This window comes from Homo sapiens, chromosome 4, assembly GCF_000001405.40.
Source record: "Homo sapiens chromosome 4, GRCh38.p14 Primary Assembly".
In the NCBI taxonomy this organism is placed as follows: domain Eukaryota; kingdom Metazoa; phylum Chordata; class Mammalia; order Primates; family Hominidae; genus Homo; species Homo sapiens.
In genome coordinates, this window is record NC_000004.12 from 53,630,437 (window position 1) to 53,652,803 (window position 22,367).

Below are 22,367 nucleotides of genomic sequence, written 5' to 3' on the forward strand. Positions count from 1 at the left end.
CCCTCATACTGGATGTAAGTGTCCTTTTTGCTGTCTACTAGTGCCACTTTTTTCTTATTTTTGTGCTTTTTCTTGGTGATTTTGCTGTTTAAAATGGCCCCAAGCATGGTGCTGAAGTGCCGCCTGGTGTTCCTAAGTGCAAGAAGGCTGTGATGTAGCTTCCAGAGAAAATACATGCATTACAGAAACTTCCTTCAGGCACGCATCACAGTGCTATTGGCTATGAGTTTGATGTTAGTGAACCAACAACATATATTAGATGCGGTGTATTTAAATAGGAACACATATAAAACAGCTTATGTATTGATTGGCTGATAAAAATGTTGTCACCAGAGGATCATAGGAAGCTAACGTGGTAGTTCCTCTAGGAGCAATGATTCAGAATTTGCTAATTCAGTGTTTGCAGTGATTTTAAAGAACTAAGTTACCTCAAATATCAAGAAACAATTGCATCAGCTTTTAGAATTTGGGAAGGGGAACTAGGATAGGGCATGGGAACCATCCACCAGGGTGGATCAGGGCTTACCTGGTTGCAGAGGTCAACCTGGGCAAGCCGGTCAGGTAAACCAACAGGGGAAATGAGCCAGAACCTTGCAGTAAGTGCTCCTGGGCCAAAAGTACAGTTCTATGGACCGCTGGGTCAATATAGAGAAGTGTGTGTGAGGGATAGAGGAGGAGGAAGTCGCCCATGGAGTTAAGGGATGCAGCTACTTGGAGACAGTTTTAGTACCCAGGGGGAGACAGTTTGTCTTCCCCACTACCTGGTGAGAGTGAAGGATCGGGAGTGGGGTGGGATAATGCAGGAGCCTGGACTCTTTGGACTGAGTAAATTAATTCTGGGCTTAATTTCAGGTACAACGAAACACCCTTTTCCACCCACTATTTCTGGCAGAAGAAGGGAACTTCCCTGTGGGCCTTCAGCAGAAAGAGACCTGCTAAAGAAGACCTGAAGAAACAAATGATTCCTGAAAATCTAGTTCCACTTTACATTTGATAGGAAATGTGACCAAGTTGGCTGTTCCTTGCCTATTATCCATAGAGGCCTCTTTTCCTCTTCCTAGGACACTGATCCCAATATAATTCCAAATCTCCCTAACTTGATATGCCTCCCCATGGCATAGTTTAAAAAATCCTCAAGCCAGTGGTTTTTCATGTTGGCTACACATTACAAGTATCCGAGAGACTTAAGAAGTCCCTGATGTCAGACCACAACTTAAGACCATCGATCAGAATTTCCAGGGTATGAGACCCAAGCATGGATATATTTTTTTAATGCCCTAGGTGATTCTAATATGTAGGCCCAAAGTGACTGAGGAAGGCTTGTTTCAGTGATTCTCAAACCTGGCTGCAAACAGTCACCCCAGGGACATGAAAGAAATCCCAAGCTAATCAATTCAGAGTCTCTTTGGAGGTGGAGCCTGAGCCTTTTTTTTTTTAAGTCCTTGAGAATCCTTGACTCGGTGTAATTCTATAGTTGTTAGATGTTTGAAAATTTTAAGTAAAATCTGCTGAAGAAAAGCAAAGAAAGGAGAGTGGAGAAAGAGTTGGGGATTAATGTATGAATGTGGAGAAGGAGCGGCCAAAGCTCCTGGGTCCGCTGGTTCTTCTAATCCATTGAATCTTGACCTGGAGTGGAGGGAGGTGGGTCATTGAAGGGAGCAGAATGGTACCAAGGGCAGACCTAGGGCTGCATTATGAGGAGACCTCCCCCAGCATGAGGTCCACTGCCTGAGGCTGGCCGCTGCGGTGGCCAGGTCTTTGGAACTGACATCAGCACTTAGAGTGGGGTTTTCAGGGACCACCAGGACAGTGGTACTTTCTCTTCTGGGCTCCCATCCTCCCTTTTCTCTCACAGTGGGAAGCTGACAGCAGAATGTGCAGTGGCTGCTGTTGCCTTGCCCAGACTCCCATCTCCTAGCTTCTGAGAGTGTGGCTGCTGATGGCTTATGGCTGCCTCCCTTCTCAGACACCTGCCTTCTGCTAAATAGCTGCTCCCTTGAGATGTTACCCCCTACACTCTTGCTTCAGCCAAGAGGGTCAGTCAGACAATGATCGACTGACTAGGGTACAAAAGTCCAGCTCCTTTGCCTCATGGCAGGATGAATTCTGGGGTGCAATTCATGTTCCCTGTCGGATCAGGCTAAAGCTAGGTAGTTGAGGCTGTATCTTTGCTTGGAATTTTCCCTGCTCTATCTTGCTGCCCTCCTGCTAAGAACACTTCCCTGGTTTGAAAAAACACTGGCTTGAGGATTTTTAAACTATGCCATGGGGAACCATATCAGGTTAGGGAGATTTGGAATTATATTGGGATCTGTATCCTAGGAAGAGGAAAAGAGGCCTCTATGGACAACAGACAAGGAACAGCAACTTGGTCACATTTCCTATCAAATGTAAAGTGGAACTAGATTTTCAGGAATCATTTGTTTCTCCAGGTCTTCTTTAGTAGGTTTCTTTCTTACTCCCCTCCTCCTGATTACACTTCCTCAAGATATATCCTATGTACAAGAATCCTTTTGTAGGTTCTACTTCTAGACAACCTGTCCTAAGACAAGACATCATTAGTGTGTGAGTGGTGGGGAGTTCGGGGTGGAAAGAACATAAACTTTGGGATCGGAAATGTCTGGGTTCAGCCCCAACATCATCACTTTTTAGCTGCTTAAATCCATCAAGTTATATGGACTCTATGATCCTCTATTGCCCTCTCTATATAATGCAGGATGGCCACACATCCCTTGCAAGGATATTGTGATGATCACATTAAATTTGATGAGAAAATGGATGTGAAAACCTATGGCACATAACAGGGATTCAGTAATGGCAGCTTCCCTTGCCTGCTGGAACTTGGCTACCACCCCCATCCACGCATGGTTCTGCACTATCCTCTTTGGTCCCCCATGCACAATAACTTTCTTAGTCTCTATTCTCTTTCTCTTCTCCTTTTTATATCTTCCTCATATTATTGCTTCTTCCCAGGATTTCTTCATCTCATTTTTTACAGTGTTTTTCACTTCTTCTGGCCATGATAAACTAAGAAAAATGCATGACAATACTCAGAAATACTGATCCTTGTTCCGTGGGCTATGGCCAGGGAAGCTGCCATGAGTTTATCAGTTTTTGCCAGCTAGGCAGAGTTAGGTTGGGTTCATTTTTGTAAACAAGACTCAGGGGGCTGGTTTGTGGCTTTTCCTGAACTAGTGTTTAGCCAGGGAAGGCTATGCTATTTTCCTCACGAGATGAAAATAAAGGCCATTAAAAATGGATTAGGCTAGTGTTTGACATGAGCGCCCTCATCCATCTTCCTCCTCTGGGCCAAGTGGTGGCCCAGAAGAGAGCTGATTGCCACAGTCAGGCACTAAGATGAGAGTTTACAGCCTCAGCCACAAACCAGCTGTGGGACTTTGGGGAGATTGCATAACCTTCTTAGGGCCGTGTTTCTGCATCACCAGAAAAGCCCGACAGTGAAATGTGTGCCAGCTACTTCACAAAGGGTCTCCTAGAGTTCCTAAAATATGATCTGGAAAGCACCCACACCCAGTGCAGAAGCTGATGGAAAACAATGCATTTTGTTACTAATATTCTTGTTAATAACACTCTGAAACCATTGCAAATCAGCTCAATAGGGCAGGAAGTATGCGATAAATCATGTACTCCATAATAATGCTCTACAATGAAGAAGACAGGAAATCTCAAAGTCACACATTAGCCTTGTGCACCCAATACCACCTGCTCAATTGGATTTTTATTGTAATTATGATTTTCACAAGCCCAGTGGAATGGGCTGAGATAATTAACATGTTTTTATCTGTCCAGCTTGGCTTTTTTTTTTTTTGAGATGGAGTCTCTGTCACCCAGGCTGGAGTACAGTGGCAGGATCTCAGCTCATTGCACCCTCCACCTCCTAGGTTCAAGCAATTCTCCTGCCTCAGTCTCCCGAGTAGCTGGGACTACAGGTGCACGCTGCCAGACCTGGCTAACTTTTTGTATTTTAGTAGAGACGGGGTTTCACCATGTTGGCCAGGCTGGTCTCGAACTCCTGAGCTCAGGCAATCTGCCCACCTCAGCCTCCCAAAGTGCTGGGATTACAGGTGTGAGCCACCGCCCCCAGGCTCAGCTCGGTTTTCTATTCTTCTTCTTGCATGAGTACTCCCTTTCCTCTGGGAGTACCATCTCTACTGGTGGAGCTACAATCACAGTGGGGAATTGGCCAACCTACTTACTACCTCTCATGCAGGAAGGGTGGGCACATGACCCAGCCTCACAGTTGAATGTAGTCCATTTCTCTCTGATCACAGGGACTGCTCCGAGGGGTGGCGGTTTACTAAGTCAATCAGGAGTCTTCCCTGGCATGTTTGTCCTGGGAAGTAGCCCTCTCTGTTTTTTTTTCTTTTTTAATTTTTTATTATTATTATTTTTTTAAGAGAGACAGGGTCTCACTCTGTCACCCAGGCTGGAGTGCAATCATGGGATCGTAGCTCACTGCATGGGCTTAATTGATCCTCCTGCCTCAGCTTCCCATGTTGCTGGGACTACAGGTGCACACTACCATATACAGCTAATTTTTAGATTTATTTTTTGTACGCAAGAAGTCTCACTATGTTGCCCAGGCTGGTCTCAAACTTCTGGGCTCAAGCAATCCTCCTGCCTCAGTCTTCCAAAGTGCTGGAATAGCACGCATGAGCCATGGTGCCCAGCCCCTCTCTGCCTTTTTGAAAACAAGCAGTTCAGATAAGCCCCCGCTCCCACACCTCTTATCTTTCTTGTCACATGGGGTGAGGATGGGCAGAATGATACCATTAGACTCCAAAGCTGAATAGTGCAGAGGCCAGATGTGGAGAGAGAAGGAAAGCACTGACGTTGTTTGAACTAGATCCCCCCTTCCGGATGTGCCTGTTTTGTGAGCCAACAAAATTCCTCTTCCTTTAATTAATTTGAATTAGGGTTGTCTCACGTAACTCACTACAAAGTTTAAAAGAATCACATTTTGAAAATATAAATTTTCATTTAGATTGATGTTCTTTTTCCTCAAGTATTTTATACTAATGAATATTTATAATTAGAATAGAATGAGTCCATTTGGTATTAATATATTGCAATTATTTTAATATTATTATAAAGAAAAATAGGACTAATCTGTTATTAGCTCTGTTTTATGCTTTAATGTAAAAAATGTCTATTGGGAAGTAAGGGTATGATTTGATCAATTAAATCAGTTTAATGATTCTATGCAACTCATGAAAAACAAGCCATTTTATATACAAAACAGGAAGAAACAACCAAGAGATTGAAAAGGACAAAATATTAGCCTATAATCTCGGCACTCCCAGGTTTTAACCTAGTGCTTTTAATATCAGAGAGACTGTGCCCAGTAATTCAAGTTTATGTTTTCTCACATCTGTTTTACAAATGAATACAAATATATGAGAGTACTTCTTGTCCTAACTGCAGCTGGGAAGGTATTTCAAGCTGTAAATATTTACTAAGTGTGCATAAAATAGCAGTGTGGGCTGATACGGCCAGTGATGGGGAATTAGAAGCATTAGGCTCCACTTCTGGCCCCTTTGCTAATTCCTGTGTGACCTTGGGCAGGTCAGTTAAAATCTCTGTGTTGCAGTGCTACATTTACATGAAGGAGATGCTGAACTTTATTGGTCGGCACTCCAAAAATAATAACTACTGAGGACAATGCCTGCAATTCAGAGTGGAAATCAAAGAGGGATCTCAGAGACTGCACATCTATTACTCCTTTTTTTTTTTTTTTTTTTTTTTTCCTTTTCAGGGGAGAAGGAGTGGTGGTGAAAGAGGGATGGATGCATGCTTGCCTCGGTCGAGCAAAAACAAAACTTCATTGTCTTGAAAAAATTAGCATGCACCTCCTTCCACACATCACTGTGGTAAGAAGAACACAATGAGGATAAAGTGGCCAGGGTTGAAAAGCCCTTCAGAGAAGATCACAGGAGAAATGCTGGCAGAGGAACTGTGAGGCATCTTTGGGACTCTGGTGAGACATTCTTGTCCCTCAGAGTAGAAAAAGGAGGGCTCTGAGGCAGAAGGGCTTGAGTGACCTTAAGCAAATCATTTCACCTTCAAGTATCAGGTCCTTGAACCATAAAATGGAGATGATAATGCCCATATTGTGGTGTGTCAAAACAGTTATACAAAATGACCAGCACATAGAAGCAGCCTGATAGACCCTGGGTTTCTACCCACTTCCATTTATTCACTTACTTTGATAGTAATTTGGCAATAGGACAGCAGATAAAGCAGCCTCCACATTTTCCTATCAGGGAGCAAACCCTCAGCTCCCTTTTCATCTTACACACCCAATTAGCTGATTCCATCCTATGTCCATATTTAGACTCCAGTGAAATTTCTTGGATTCATATTCTCCCTTTACATCAAAAAGCAAACAAATGTGAACAAGGATACAGGGTCATGTTCTGTAGTTTAAAACATCTGTTTGGAGTGAAGGTGTTATACACTTATCTTGTATGCAGACCGCAGGTTCCCTCCCTCCCTCCCCAAGAAAGCAAAAATGGCAACTGAGATGATGATTTGGATGACACAGATGGAAGAATCTTGGGTTATATTAATAGTTTAGGACTGAATTACCGCCTCAATTGTTTCACTCTCCTGTTACTGCTAAGAGCATACAGCATAGACAGAAGCAGTTTGATGAGAGGAAACCCAATTTGCACTGGCAAAAAAAATCTCATAAGTATAAGAGGATCCCAATAATTGGACCAAAACACAACATCATGATTGCAGCATCATGGTCAAGAAAGGACTGCCTTGGCCCCTAAGAAACTTGTGTTTTACTTTCTTCACAGCTGTAGTTCTCAAACTCTTGGGGATCTCTTTCCAATGACACAAGATTTTATGACCCACTAAATGAATCTCTTTGTACCAACCACTGCTTGAAAAAAATCTAATTAGAATCATAGGGGTCCATGGTGCAGCTCTTATGATGTTCCTTAGTAATGTCAAAAGTAAAAGATTCACTGATTCTAGGAGTAAGAAAATACAGTCATGATAATAATTCCTTAATTCCAAATGCTTTGCACTACACCTGTCATTTCACATGTTATTTACTTTTTCACAACTCTGTGAAGTTGTAGCATTGCTCAATCCCCACGACACTGTAAGGTAGGCTTGTTTCATTACTACAGAATTTCATCACTTCTAAGATGCCAAAGGGTAGAATGTGCAACCTTATTTTTTGTGCCCACCCAGAAAGAAAACAGAATACTGCCAATTAATCCACAACACACCATCAATTACATAAACCAAAACACAGCCAGTTTCTGAGATATTAAAATGTAAAAGAAGGAGTGTCTTAGAATTAATGAAATATGGACTTTCCCTTTTGCAGATGAGGAAATTTCTGCTGTGTTAAAGACTAGGCTGCTGACGGAGATTAGACCACCACTCAAAGTCGCACCTTCTAACTTCAACCCAATGGACTCCACCCAACCAGACCTAGTGATTTTGAAGTTGATCTTGGAAGCAAGAGAGAAGGCTCCCACTGTGTATTCTTGAAACTACCACTTTAGAAGAAATGATTTATCACTGATAGATGGCAGCCACGATGGTGGCATTTTAACAAGAAACAACAAACTAGTTTCAGAGGGAAATATGAATGACCACTTGCTTCCTGTCATCATGATATACTGCATTAATACAATATAGGTACAGATCTTGTCATTGGGCATATTTTGTGTCTAATTAATATGTTTACATATATATAACTTTTGATTATTTCTCTGACTTGGCTTCTCTGCTGGGTTTGCAGTCATGAGAGATGAATGGCTGGTAAGTTGACAGCAGAAGAAATAGACCTTTCGATACTTTAATAATGCAGAACAGTCAATTCTAGTTAGCAAGACTGTACAATATAGGTATAGTCAATTGGTCAACCCTTATTATTTGCAGATTCCATAGTTGTGAATTTGCCTCCTTGATAAAATTGAATTGTAACCCCAAACTCAATGCTCATGGTGCTTTTGTGGTTATTTGTGGGCATGCTCAAAGCAGCGAAACTTTAAGTCATGGGATGCACGTGTTCCCAGCTGAGGTCCAACAGTGACGCTCTGGCTTCTTGTGTCAGCTTTCATACTATCAGCAAGTGTTCTCTTTGCAGACTACTTAGTGCCCCGTTTTTCCTCATTTTTGTGCTCTTCATTGGTGATTTTGCTGTAAAAATGGCCCCGAAGCATAATGCTGAAGTGCTGCCAAATGTTCCTAAGCTCCAGAAAACTGTGATGTACCTTACAGAGGAAGTATCTATGTTAGAGAAGCATCATTCAGGCATGAGTTATAGCGCTGTTGGCCATGAGCTCAAAATTGGTGTATTAAATAAGGTGCCCCAGTCAGAATGGCTATTACTAAAAAGCCAAAAACAACAGATGTTAGCAAAGTTGCAGAGAAAAGGGGACACTTATACACTATTGGTGGGAAGGCAAATTAGTTCAGCCACTGTGGAAAGCAGTTTGGAGATTTCTCAGAGAACTTGAAACAGAACTAACATTTGACCCAGCAATTCCATTACAGATATATATCCAAAAGAAAACAAACTGTTCTACCAAAAAGACACATACTTGCATGTTCACTGCTGCACTATTCACAATAACAAAGACATGGAACCAACCTAGGTGCCAATCAATGGTGATTGGATAAAGAAAATATGGTACATATACACCATGAAGTACTATGCATCCATGAAAAAGAACAAAATCATGTCCTTTGCAGCAACATGCATGCAGCTGGAGGCCATTCTTCTCATTGAATTATCACAGGAACAGAAAACCAAATACTGCATGTTCTCACTTGTAAGTGGGAGCTAAACATTGGGTGCTCATGGACATAAAGATGGCAACAATAGGCACTGGGTACTACTACAGCAGGGAGGAGTGAGTGGGGGTAAGGATTGAAAAACTATTGGGTGCTATGCTCAGTACCTGGGTGACAGGATCATTTGTACCCCAAACCTAAAAAAAAATTCTTCCTTATATTTATTTAAAATCTGCTTCCTAATAAATTTTCTTTAATTAAAAATGTTAATATCCCAGAAAAAATAAGGCATCTTGAAACAGAAACGTACATTAAACAAGGTTATTTATTGATTGGCTGATGAAAATGGTGCAAACAAAGGCTCACAGGAACCCAACTTCATTCTTGCTAAGTAGAATGGACTGTTTTGGGGTCCTAAAGTATCAAAAGGGCTGTTTCTTCTGTCGCCCACTTACCAGCTGTTCATATCTCATGACTGCAAACACAGTGGAGAAGCCAAGTCAGAGGCATAATCAAGAGTTATTTAGGTCAGGTGTAGTGGCTCATGCCTGTAATCCCAGCACTTTGGGAGGCCGAGGCGGGTGGATCACTTGACGTCAGGGATTTGAGACCTGCCTGAGCAACATGGTGAAACCCTGTCTCTACTAAAAATAAAAAAAATTAGCCAGGCATGTTGGCGCATGCCTATAATCCCAGCTACTTGGGAGGCTGAGGCACAAAAATTGCTTGAACCCAGAGGCAGAGGTTGCAGTGAGCTGAGACTGCACCACTGAACAGCACTCCAGCCTGGGCAACAGAGTGAGACTCTGTCTCAAAAAAAAATAAAAATAAAAAAGAATTATTTATATACATATACCAAGTAGACAAAAGTATGCCTGATGATCTGGAAGGAAACAGAAAAATAGAATGACAGTGGTGGTGGGAGTATAGGTTTTTAACATTCTTTTGTTCCCATTTCCAATTGTTGGCATTTCTTTGTAGATTTACGTATTAAAAACAAGAACGACTGTCAGGAAGGCGAGGAAGCACTGCCTAACAGAGCATGGCAGTGGTGGAAAAGCAGACCAGGGAGCCCACAAGGAGACAATGATAGAGAAGTCTTTCTTTGGGAGAGCATCCTTAGCTGTGGAACAGGCCGAGATGCTTACAGAGGAAGGATGGACCTCTGTATAAGCTCTGTAGCCTTCTCAGTAAAAAGTAAACAGAAAAAAATGGGGGGAGAGAAGGAATGAAGAAAGTGAGTCTATGGCCTTAGTGCTTCTCTGCTTAGGATAGAGCACTGGCAAGCATATGAAAACACATACATTTCATTGCTAAAAATAAAGAATCAAAAGTGCTTTTGTTTAAGCCTTGATGTGATATTAGCAATAAAGAGCCACCAGTTGCAGGAGAACCACAATACATCCATAACCCCCAAAATATATTAGTTTAGGGGAATTGTTGTCAACAGTAGGAACAATTAAGACTGTGTTGTTATAGAAATACTGTGCCTAGCTGGTTTGCAAAAGAAAACTGCCTCTGATGACTTAGGTCTGGAGGGCCTTTGAAGGCAGTTTCTTTCCTGTGACCAGTAACTGATTTTTCACAAAATTGTGCATTGACTATTTCTCACAAGAGGTTTTGAAAATGAAGCTGGGTTTCAGGTTCGACTCACATGAGCTACTTTTATTTGGACAGTCTTTGTTTTTCTCAGTCTCGTCGGCAGTCCTTCCGGGGCCTTCCTCAATCCCTGGCCGGGGCTGAGGCCTGGCCGTTGTTTGGGATGAAAAGGTATTGGAAGGCTGGCTGCTAATTGGAGCTTGCACCTGCAGACCCCAGCCTTGGAGGCGACTCGGCACAGGCTACTGCTCTATGTGTGTATGCTTGTGTGTGTGCATTTTATTTCCTCAATGAACACTGGAATGTGGCATGGTTTTTTGGCCTGGGTATGCTGGAGGAGATCCAAGCTGCTTGGCCACTTTCTCTGTTCTGGGGAAGGGCGGGGTGGGGGGGCACCTCCTTTACTCTCTAAGAAGGAGGGATTTCTAGCTATGCAAATATATCCAGTGCATTCTGATCTAATCTCTTCTGGCCCCAAGAGGGGACTTACCCAGATAAGAGGCGCTCTTCAGAGAAAGTGAGAGGGTGCCACAGCAGGGCTTTCACCCACCAATAAGCTGATGAATTTTTAATGAGTTTCTCACACTTCACTCTAGTAACATTATCCAGGCAGTGCTGAAGAGGAATGGCTACAACCTCTGTGCTCAGCCAAAGACGAGAGAAATGGACAAAATACCCAGGTGGACCTAACGACCATGCCTCTGTTTCTCCCCACCCCACAATACCCAGGGGTTCAACCTAATGCACATATTTAATTTTGTGCATCTGATCAATTTTGGCATACATATATGCCCATGAAATCATCACTGCAATCAAGGAACAAATTCATTTTCTTTCTCTTTGTAATCTCTCCCTCTCACTCCCCATTCACCAGGTCCCCAGGCAAGTATTGATCTGCTTTCTATAACTAGACTGCTTGCACATTCCAGAACTCCATATAAATGAAATCAAACATTGTGTATTCTTTTTGGTGTCTGGCTTACTTCACTTGGTATGATAATTTCAGGATTTATTCATATTGTAGGTATCAACAGTTCATTCCTTTTTTTCTGCTTAGTATTGCATTGTGTGGACACAGCACAGTCTGTTTATTCATTCACCTGTTGATGGGCATTTGGGTTGTTTCCAGTCTGAGGCTATTACCAAGAAACCTGCCATGAAACCAAGACAGGAGGATTGCTTGAGGCCAGGAGTTAGAGACCAGTCTGGGCAACATAGTGGAGAACTCATCTCTACAAAAAATAAAAACATCAGCCAGGTTTGGTGGTACACGCCTGTGATCCCAGCTACTTGGGAGGCTAAGATGGGAGGATTGCTTGAGCTCAAAAGGTTGAGGCTGCAGTGAGCCATGATCACATTACTGCACTCCAGCCTGGGCAATGCAGAGCAAAATCCTATCTTAAAAAAAAAAAAAAAAAAAAAAGGTCAAAGCAGGCCCAGACCATTTCCACTTTTTGAAGTTCTTGGGATATTAAAAATGAAAGAAGGAATCCCAAAATAGACCTATAAAATATGCTATATTTAAAATGTATACATGCTTTTGAACATATTAAAAATTCAACATGTAGGTAACACTGGAAATGATATCAGGATTTTGAATTTGAAGCTCAATGTGGGGCCTAGGACAAAGGGTCTCCTGGCCATTGACCACTTTGTGATGGGTCCTGAGGGGCCAGCACCAGCTAGGGGCCCTTCCCACATACCCTGTACACTCTAAAGTCATATGTGGCACGGTTATTCTTTATATGCTTGGGGTCAAATCAATGCTACAGAGATAGCTCTGGAAAGAAAGAGCATTTTCTGGGTGTACACAGATTTTCTGCCAGAACTGGGAAGGCCAATCACAAACACTGGCCTTTTGGAGAGATCCCTTGCTCTACTCACCAAAATCAGCAAGCCTGCGGGGTCTGAGGTTTCCTTTGGGTTGACTATAGTCTTGGATGTCTCTGCTTACTTTGAGATCAGAATGGTGCCATGACCATGAGAGGGGTCGCTCCACTTGAAGAATCCCCAGATCCCTCCCAGCCATGGCATGGAAGCTCCCACCCTCTGAGGACCGTTATGGTCGCCTGGGTGTAACTTTAGTCTCCTTTTGCCTTTGGGTGTGTCTAGTGTAATGGTTCTCTGTGTGGGGTGATTTTGCCCTCCAGAGGCCACTTAACATTGACTGGAGACATTTTTGGTTGTTACAACTTGGGGAGTGCTATGGGCATTTAATAGGTTGAGCCTAGGGTGTTGCTGAACATTCTACAATGCACAAGGCAGCTGCCCACAATAAAGAATTATTCAGTCCCAAATGCTAGTATTGTTGAGTCAAGAAATCTTGGTCTTTTTTTTTTCTTTTTTAAGACAGGATCTTGCTCTGTTGCCCAAGCTGGAGTGCAATGGCACGATCATGGCTCACTGCAGCCTCAAATTCCCAGGCTCAAGCAATCTTCCCACCTCAGTCTCCTGGGCAGCTGGGACCACAGACGCATGCCACCATGCCAGCTAATTTTTAAGTTTTTTGTAGAGACAGGGTCTCCCTCTGTTGCCCAGGCTGATCTCAAACTCCCGGGCTCAAGTGATCCTCCCACCTTGGCCTTCCAAAGTGCTGGGATTACAGGGCTGAGACACCATCCCGGTCAAGAAACCTTGGTCTTTATGATCTAATCAGGTGTCAAGCAGAGTGGACAGAGGGTGGCTGATGTAGTCTGAGAAAGGGGTTCTTTGTTCATTAATCCAAGAAGGCTGTGATATAGACACAGAGATAGGGTAACAAAATTCAGGGGACTGAAGAACTAGCTGCCCAAGACCTCTCGCCCTCTCTCTTCCCTTTCTCCTCATTTTCCTTCTCCCTCCTGTTGAGAGCTTTGGAGTGTAACAGACCTGTTTTCAAACCCAGGTCCTGCTGCCTGGTAACCTTGGGCAGCTTGCTAAAGCTCTTTGAACCTCAGTTTCTTCACCTGAAACATGGAAATAACAATAGGACTTTTCAGAATTATGAAAATTAAACAAGAGAAGTCAAACCATGTAAAAAGTTTGTTGGGGCCTAGCACATGGGAAGAATTCAGTAAGTGACAGTGATTATTATTATTTCATGAATGGAGCATGACCTGACACAAAGCACCTTGCCAGCTGTGTTCTCTAGCCACTCAGCCACAGTTGGTGTACATTTTTATTAGTCTACAAAATTATTTACTCTAAAAGTCTTATTAATAATAATCCCTGCTCCTCAAAAGCAAAACCCCGTGGGTAGACTGCACTTACTATGTTTTGTACTTCATTCTAGTGATAAAAAAAAGTAAATGGAGGTCAGGAACGGTGGCTCATGTCTGTAATCCATCCTAGCACTTTGGGATGGGGAGGTGAGTGAATCACTTGAGGCCAGGAGTTTGAGACCAGCCTGGCCAGCATGATGAAACTCTGTCTCTACTAAAAATACAAAAATTAGATGGTTATGGTGGCATGCTCCTGTAGCCCTAGCTACTTGGGAGGCTGAGGCACGAAAATCGCTTGAACCCAGGAGGTGGAGGGTTGCAGTGAGCCGAGATCACGCCACTGCACTCCAGCCTGGGCAACAGAGTGAGAGTCTATCTCAAAACAAAACGAACAAACAAAAACAAAACAAACAAAACCCCAAAACAAGAAATAAATGTAAAGTGACTTAAGCTAGACTGATGTATTATATATTGAAGTATTTATGTACCTGTGTTGACATATGCTATATGTTAGTTTGCAGTCCATGATAAGAAATTTACACAATGAAGTTTATCAGAAAACACACCACTAGCTGGGACTCTCATAGCAAATACCTGGGAACTCATAGGCTGTCCTATTCCAGGAGGGAGCGGGATTCCATGTCAGGTGACTTGGATAGTGTCCCAGGTTGGGTAGGTTACCCCAGCACCAGCAGGGCCTCCTTGCCAGATGGCCAGGCAGAGACTGGGAGGTTCCTGCTGGAGGGAGCTCAGAGTATATCTGGAAGGTCGTTATTACCAACCCAGAGAACCAGTTTGGTGAGGTTGGCTCAAAGGGCATATTTAGTCAGAGTAAGGGAGAGATGTGGTAACAGGGAGGAGGAAGTCTGGGTAAGGATTACAAGTAGCACAGTCAAAATGCGCTTCTCAGTTTTCAACAGAGTGAGGGAGAAGTAGTACCTTAGCCCCAGCCCTGAGACCTAACTCCTCAATTCTTGCCAACAGCAGGAGAGTGAGCCCAGGAAATCTCCAGACAGCCAAAAGATGATCCAGGTGATAAGGGCACAGCCAGGCAGTGTCCACGCCAAAAAAGAACAGAAAGTTTGGCTTAACTCTATTTTTGCCTGTGTTTTTCTCCTGGGGCAGGAGTGTAACCTAAAAACACTCCGGGATACACGGTGGCCCTTACACAAATTAAGAATCCAGAGGAAGGGCTCCTTTGGCAAGGGAACTCTCGGGAGGCTGGAGCCATGACAGAGCTCCCCAGGAACATTCTAGAAGACAGGCTAGATTTCCTGGCCTTTGGTCACCAGCCTGGAGTTTGGCAGAGCCCTCTTGTGCAGAGGGTGAATGAAGATATTTGGTCATTGCCTTCCCTGCTGTGGGCTGTTCTCAGCATTAAGTTGTCAGTGTGCACTACCATTGGGGTTACCCAATGGGGTCTATTCCAGAAAAGGGAAGGTGGATTTGCCTACTCAAGCCCAAAGAGCAAGGGCCACTGAAATTGCCTTCTGAGTAATAGGATTGGCAGACATTGAGGCACGTTGCAAAGAACTGTTAATTATAATCTTTACTTTCTCTCTAACCAGCTCAGAAAAGAGCTTTATGGGAGGAATATAGTTTGAATGAGAGGCATTCTGTTCATTCTCCCAAATACTCTGTGGATTGAGATCAGCAGGAACAAGGGGTCTACACTGCATTATCTTGGCCTCTCACATGACCACCTTCCCTGAGTTTAGTTTAGGTGAAGTATGCCACTAGAAAAAAATATCAGGCATGTTGGCATCTGTAGAACCTGTGTCTCAATAAAGATGTTTTGAATGAATATCTGAAACCGTATGAAATACCAGACTCCTGGGCATGCATTGGTGAGGATATTGATTACTATTTCATACTGATTACTATTTCACTCAGAGTTTTCTTATAAAGCTGATATACTCAATTTCTACTCCAAGTCAGATGAGGAAAGCTTGGTACTTATAAAGGAATTGCTTTATTTATTCCTTTCTGAAAAATGAGAATGATGTAATTGGGGATATTTCCCTTTTGCTTTGGTTGCCAGGAAGCTCAGTTGAATCTGATGCCCAACTATACCAGTCATGAAGGCTCTTATGACATCCATACCTGGTTTGTATTTCTATTGGTCTTATCATCCTATTCTCATATTTCCCTTGTTCTTGATTTAAATTCTTGTTTATATTTCCCATGATTTTATGGCAGAGCTCCAACTCTGAGATGCCTCCAATTGCCAGGCAGGTATTGGTAAATGACCGGAGTGGAGTAATAGGGCATGGTGGGGACTGTGGCAAATGGAGAGAGCTCTTCCCTGGCCACTCTGCTAAACTAACATGGCTCCCCCACCCCATTCTCAGTCTCTATCCTCTAACTCTGCTTTATTCATATCCTCTAACCCTGCTGTATTCATAGCACTTACAATTTCCTGTAATTATCTTACTTATCTGTCTACTTGGTTATTATCAGTCTCACCTCTGCTATATTCCCAGCATCCAGAACAGTGCCTGGCACAGAATTGTCACCCAATCTACATTTTTTGCTGAGTGAATGAACAAATATAGGACCAACATGGCCAGAGTTTCCTATGTTTTAAAAGAACTTGAAATTTGAATTTTTATATGAAATCTCCTGATTGTTAGATGTTTAGTAGCTAATATAAAAAATTAAAAACACTATGCTGGCCAGAAATGAGCCATGCTAATGTGGGGCCATTGTTCTACTTTCTATTCTCCAGTTGGAGCAACCACAGTTTCTTTGTAGAATAAAGTGGTATATAAATAAATGAAAACAGACATCTGTTTCACGTTTTACAAAGCATTGCCACCCACTGTTAATTTTTCACTATTATTTCATTATTGTTCCAATTTAACATGAGTAAATAAACCACTCCCACCCCTTTGCCCGGGAGTTGAAATGAACCTGTGTGTTTAGAAGTGGAGGAAGCTGTAAAAGGCAGGAAGTGTCCCGGCAGCCAGAGCTGGCCTCCTGGCCAGGCATTCAGGAAAGAGGATGGAAAGGTTCTCCATGCTCCATTTTTTCTCTTTTTCCTGTCCCAGCACCAGAGGTTAGGTGGATGCTTCATCTGACAGAGGCTGTGACCTCTAATTCACATGCAGCCTCACACTGGGTCTGTTTCTCTAAATTTTGTGTGCAGAACTAGACTATCTGTGTGCATGTTTCTGACAATCCTTTCACATACAACCTTTGGCTCACCTGCCACCTGTCAAGAACTGCAGTCCTAAATGTTTTAGTAATGTGCATACACAAACACACACACAATGAATAATTAAGCATAATGCAGAGTGTCTCTTTTATTTCTGCATAGTATAATATTAATCTTATTTGTTTTAGGAAGCAATCTCTCTCTCTCTTTTTCTCCCTCTCTTTTTCTATAATTGCTAGAGTTGTCAGTTCTTTGTGATTTAACAATGTCTCAGCCAATGATGGAGAATATGACCAATTTCTAACCAAGAGATATTTTTCTGTATATATTTATTTTCTCAGAGAAGAAGTCTGCTATTTTCCCAAGAATCACTGGTCCACTTTGCTAAGAAAAAAAAGCCAGGATTCATTGGCATTTTTTACTTATGGTAAAATACACATAACATGAAACTTGCCATCTTAACAATTTTTAAGAGTACAGTTCAGTAGTGTTAAGTGCATTCACATTGTTGCATAACCATCACCACCATCCATCTCTAGATCTTGCAAAACTGAAACTCGTCACCCATTAAACAGTAACTCTCCATTCTCCCTTTCCCTCAGCCCCCGGCAACTGCCATTCAACTTTCTGTCTCTATGAATTTGACTACTGTAAGTACCGCATGTAAGTGGAATTATATCGTATTTGTCCTTCTGAAACTGGCTTTATTTCATTCAATATAACATCCTCAAGTTTCAACCATGATGTGGCATGTGCCGGAATTTCCTTCCTTTTTAAGGCTGAATTTATCCCATTGTATGTGTATACTACATTTTGTTATCCATTCACTGGACACTTGGGTTGCATGTACCTTTGGGCTATTGTGAATAATGCTGCCATAAATATGGGAGTACAAATATATGTTTGAGTCCCTACTTTCAATTCTTTTGGGTATATACCAAGAAATTGAATTGCTGGGTCATTGACAATTCTATTTTTCATTTTTTGGTGAACCACCATACCATGTTACACAATAGCTGTATCAGTCTACATTTCCATCAACAGTGCACAAGCATTCCAATTTCTCCATGGCCTTCACAACATTGGTTATTTTGGAATTTTTTTTAACTTGATAGTAGCCATGCTAATGGGTGGGAGGTGGTATCTCATTGTGGTTTTTGATTTGCTTTTTCCTAACCATTAGTGATGAGGATCTTTTCCTGTGCTTATTAGCCATTTATATATCTTCTTTGGAGAAATGTCCATGCAAGTCATTTGTCCATTTGAATTGGGTTGTTTTTTGTTGTTGTTGAACTGTAGGGGTTCTTTACATATTCTGGATATTAACCCCTTCTCAGATAGATGATTTGCCAATGTTTTCTCTCATTCTGTGGCCTGTCTTTTTACTCTGTTGTTTGTGTCCTTTGGTGCCCAGACATTTTTTATTTTGATATATCATTGGCATTTCTGTGCTTCCACTTTTGTCTCCTCTGGCTCTAAGGGAGGTGGACTGTGGGGGAAGGAGAACTGCCTCACAGCTCCAACAATGGGGGCTGAAAGGCCACTGGAGAAAGGCCACTAAGTCCTATGGCAAATAGACTTTCAGAACAGTTTCAAAAACTCCCTCAGTCCTGCCCTTCCATCCCCCTGAACACATTCATGGTGCAGAATTGCTTTAGTGATAATTGAATTTCCCTCCAGCTTTGGGGTTGTCAGGACAATCATGACAATCACTATTGCCCTGAAACCCACTGAGTGTGTATAATGGCCACTCCTAACAGATCATGGTGAATGAAAAACCAATAGAAGAGAGGAGGTCTCCTTAGCATGCAGGGCAATGCTGGGACCTTTGGAGGCTGAAACGATAAAAAAATTATGGTGCCTGTAACCCAAAATATATCAAAAGATAAGCAACAGTAAGGCATAAAATGAATCCAAAAGGTTCTGATTTTACTCAAGATAACAACTTCAGAGTTTCTTTTACAATGCCAAAATCTATTTGTTTAAATTTCTGTCTTTTAATTAATTCATTATATTTTGGGGTGCTTCTGCTTCACCAGTGCCCTAACCCCTTTTTGATCCACCTACTGGAAAATAACAGCTTTGTTATTATTGTTTTCCATATGCTATGCATTTTTGTGTACACTATGTAAAAGAATTTAATTTACATGTCAATCCCACAAGGCGACTACTATTACAATCTCTAGTTTTACAGTGAAGGAAACCAAGACAGAGAATAGTAACTTGCAGAAGATTCAACAGCTATAGATCAACAAATCTTAGGTCACAGAACCAGGATTTGAACTCCGGAAGTCTGGCTCCAGAGCTCTTGTCCTGAAGTCTACAATCCAGCACCACTGGCTCATCTCCACAGCCTGCACCTGTCTGGACAGCTCCTCCTCTTGCCTCTGGCCCTGCACTAGCCACCCTGAGGTAGCTCCTGATATTCTCTATCAGTTACAGTATTTCATCCTTCCTGCACACCACTCCCTTTACTCCCCTTCTAGTCAGTCTTTACCTTGTTAATCTCTGCCCATTTAGGATTCCCCTTGGGCATCTCCTCTGTGCCCACCCAGTCTGGGCTAGGTGCCCTCCGATGGCAGGCTGTGTAGGGTCTCATTGTACTTGGCCACATGGAATTGAAATTTATTGCTTGTCTGCTTCCCACAGTGGACTGGGAGTTCCTTGAGGGTGGTGACTAAGGTTTTAAATCTCTATGTTCCACCCTAGCCAAGCACCTGGAACCTCGTAAGCGCTTTGTATCTGTTGTTGAGTAAATGAATAATGGAGAACCTAGACAAGGACTTGACAGAGAAGAAAAAGGAGCAGGGACTGCCCAAATAGTAGTTTTCACCCTGGAAATGTTTTTACTACCCTGAGCAGAGAGTGAGCAGCCCACATCCATATAGATGAGCAGACCGAGTGGAATAGAATGAATGGAATGAGCCTGGCTTCTTCAGGCCTGATGCTGAGGACACGTGCCCTGCCTGTATGGAGGAGACAGCTTTGTCCCCCATCAAAGACAGTGACAACACAGGTACATACACAAATGCATAGCGCGTGTCACAGTCCTTAAATACATTACATAGGGCTGAGCAAAGTAGGCACCTGTGCGGGGTGTGGAGGACATACGGTAGCTCCAGAATTCCAGGAGCCAGCTCAGGGCAGCCCAGAACAAAGTGTCAGGGCCTAAGCAGGGTGCGGAGGGCATCTGCATGGGCAGGGGACAGTGGTCATGATGGCAGTTGATGACATTTGGGGGACTGAGCAAATAAGCAAATAATATATTAAGGATAATGGGAGCCGGCTTCTGATGAATGTCAGAGAAGGGAGTTACAAATGTGGAAAGGGAGAAAACTCTGTGGTGTTGGATTGGAATTGGAAGTATGAATTTATGGTTTTCTATACATATAGATTAACATAGAAATAAATAGATACGTAAATAGAGGAGGAAGCTGGGATTCAAAATTAGATCTGTCTAGCTCTTTTCACCGTTCTATACTACCGCCCTACATATAGGGCCTCTGCTGTGAAACCTCTGTCCCCTTCCGTGTCCCCCCAAGAACCTCAACCCTAACTCACACAGACTTAAAGGATTCCACCCTCATGGTTCCAGAGCATGCATCACACCTCATGTCATTAGTTGCACACAACTAACTCATGAGGTTTTCATTACACTGAGGGTAGGCCTCCTCTTATCTGTATTCCCTGCATCTCCCTTGGAGCCAGGCACATGGTCATCACAATAGTTAGTATTAATATTTATTGTGCAGTTGTTATGCACCAGGAAAGACTTCACATGCATAATCTCATTTACAGCTGAAGACAACGCTATGAGGGATGTATTACCATCATTCTCATTTTACATATTGGCAAGGTGAAGTTAGAGGTGTTAACTGAGGTACCCCAAAATGCAGAGCTAGTAGGAAGTAGAACCAAGAATCAAGAACAGACAGTCTAATTCCTCAGGCTATGCTCCTCTCCCCTCGGCTCTGCCACATGGACTTGGTGTAAGCAAATGTTCACTCAACAAATTCCTCCTGGGGGACTTGTGTATCTGAATGCTCTCCCTCAATCCAAGTCCACACTTTATGTTGAGCTCGTTTGAAGCTCACCTCTTTAGGGGAGCCCCACCCCCATCCTGCTCTGCACTGCGTCAGCATTCCTTGGGCACCGGACTTGCACCACGCCCTGACACATGACCAGTCAGTGTTGGAGCAGGGAACATAGTTTATCGACATTTGTTGAAGTGAATTCAATGCCCAGGAATGGAAGTAAACAGGAATACATGACAAGGTGGTATATTGTACAGGATACTGTGGCTATCTATTTCTGGATTTTCCAGGAGAGTTCCAATTTCTAAAATTCCATCCTCTCATCAGAACATTTGTCAGAATACGTGGCCAAGAATGTACTCTGGAATTTTGTTTAAAGAGTAGGGTCACCATTCTACTGAAAAGAGATGGGAATGGAGACAGGATGTGCTGCTGGTCACCCACAACCCTACACACCCGTGAGCAGGTCACAGCTTCTCTCAACCTCTTTATCCATGGGTAAAACTGCAATGCAACACCTACTCCTACTGTGGAATGAAACAAAGTCTGTGTGTGAATGTGTTTTAAATGACGATAAAGAATAATGTCACATAAACCCAGTTACTGTTAGTGGGAATACTTACATTTTTACTGACCTGTCTGGCAAGTCATTTTCATTTGTGAAAGTAAAGAAGCTTTTAATGAAGGCCACTGCAGAAAAAAATAGGGTATAAAGAGCGCAAATGCCCTGAGGCCTTTCTAGTGTTTTGAAAAAGATACCTAGATATTTCCATCTTTTAGACTCTCCTCAATTTGATGTGTGTGTGTGAGAGAGAGAGAGAGAGAGAGAGAGAGAGAGAGAGAGAGAGACAGAGAAAGAGATAGGGGTGAGAGCTGGAGGCTGAGTGGGCAGAGGTGAAGTTTTTTTTTAAATTGTATGAGATTCTACCTGGTGGAGGAACCGGGCCATCTTACCTTTGCTGTATTGCGGATCAGTTCCCAGCTGTGTGACGTCTCAGGAGATAGTCCGTTTGAGAGCTGAGCTTTTCTGGCTTAGCAGTAGCTCGGAAAATTTTTCTTTCTCTTTCCAGTGTTCTTCGTCCCAGCTATGCATGAAAACTGCTCCACCTTTGTACGTGCGGGGGTTAACCTGGGCATCCCCTGCCCCTTCTGCAAGGCTTTGAGTAGAGCAGATCCATAAAACTGAGAGCAGCTATGGGGAGCTTCGAGGGAGAGTGGTCCCCTGCAGAGCAGCATGCATTAGCATCAGTGACAAATCTCTTCTGGTTTGGATGGGGCTGAGACGCCCCTGAACTTCCTTCTGCTCTTGCCAAAAGCCAAGGTCCTTTTGTTCACCTTTAGGGTTGCCAAGTCAGGCCTACCTCGCCCCTAGATGTTGTTTCCTGCAGGCAATGGGAAAATGATCTTGGAGCCAGAGAAGGGAAATCAACAAGGAAATAAACACAGGGTCACCACACCTTCAGGCCATCATTAGGTCTGGAACATTATCATGCTGGGACCAGCTCCTAAATAGGCAGGGGCTACTGACTGGACAGGTCCTATAATCCTTGGCATCTTTTATTTTTGAATATGTAAAGGGGCATGCACCAA

General features: G+C 42.9%; 1 protein-coding gene across 1 annotated transcript in view; it reads right to left on the reverse strand.

The window, feature by feature from the left end:
• Positions 1-22,041, reverse strand: part of LNX1 (ligand of numb-protein X 1) — a 193,177-nt gene extending 171,136 nt beyond the window's left edge. Inside the window, exon 1 of the mRNA XM_005265785.6 lies at positions 21,732-22,041. The gene's annotated coding sequence lies outside the window, so the exon portion shown is untranslated. The remainder of the gene's footprint in view (positions 1-21,731) is intronic.
• Positions 22,042-22,367: the final 326 nt, after the last annotated feature.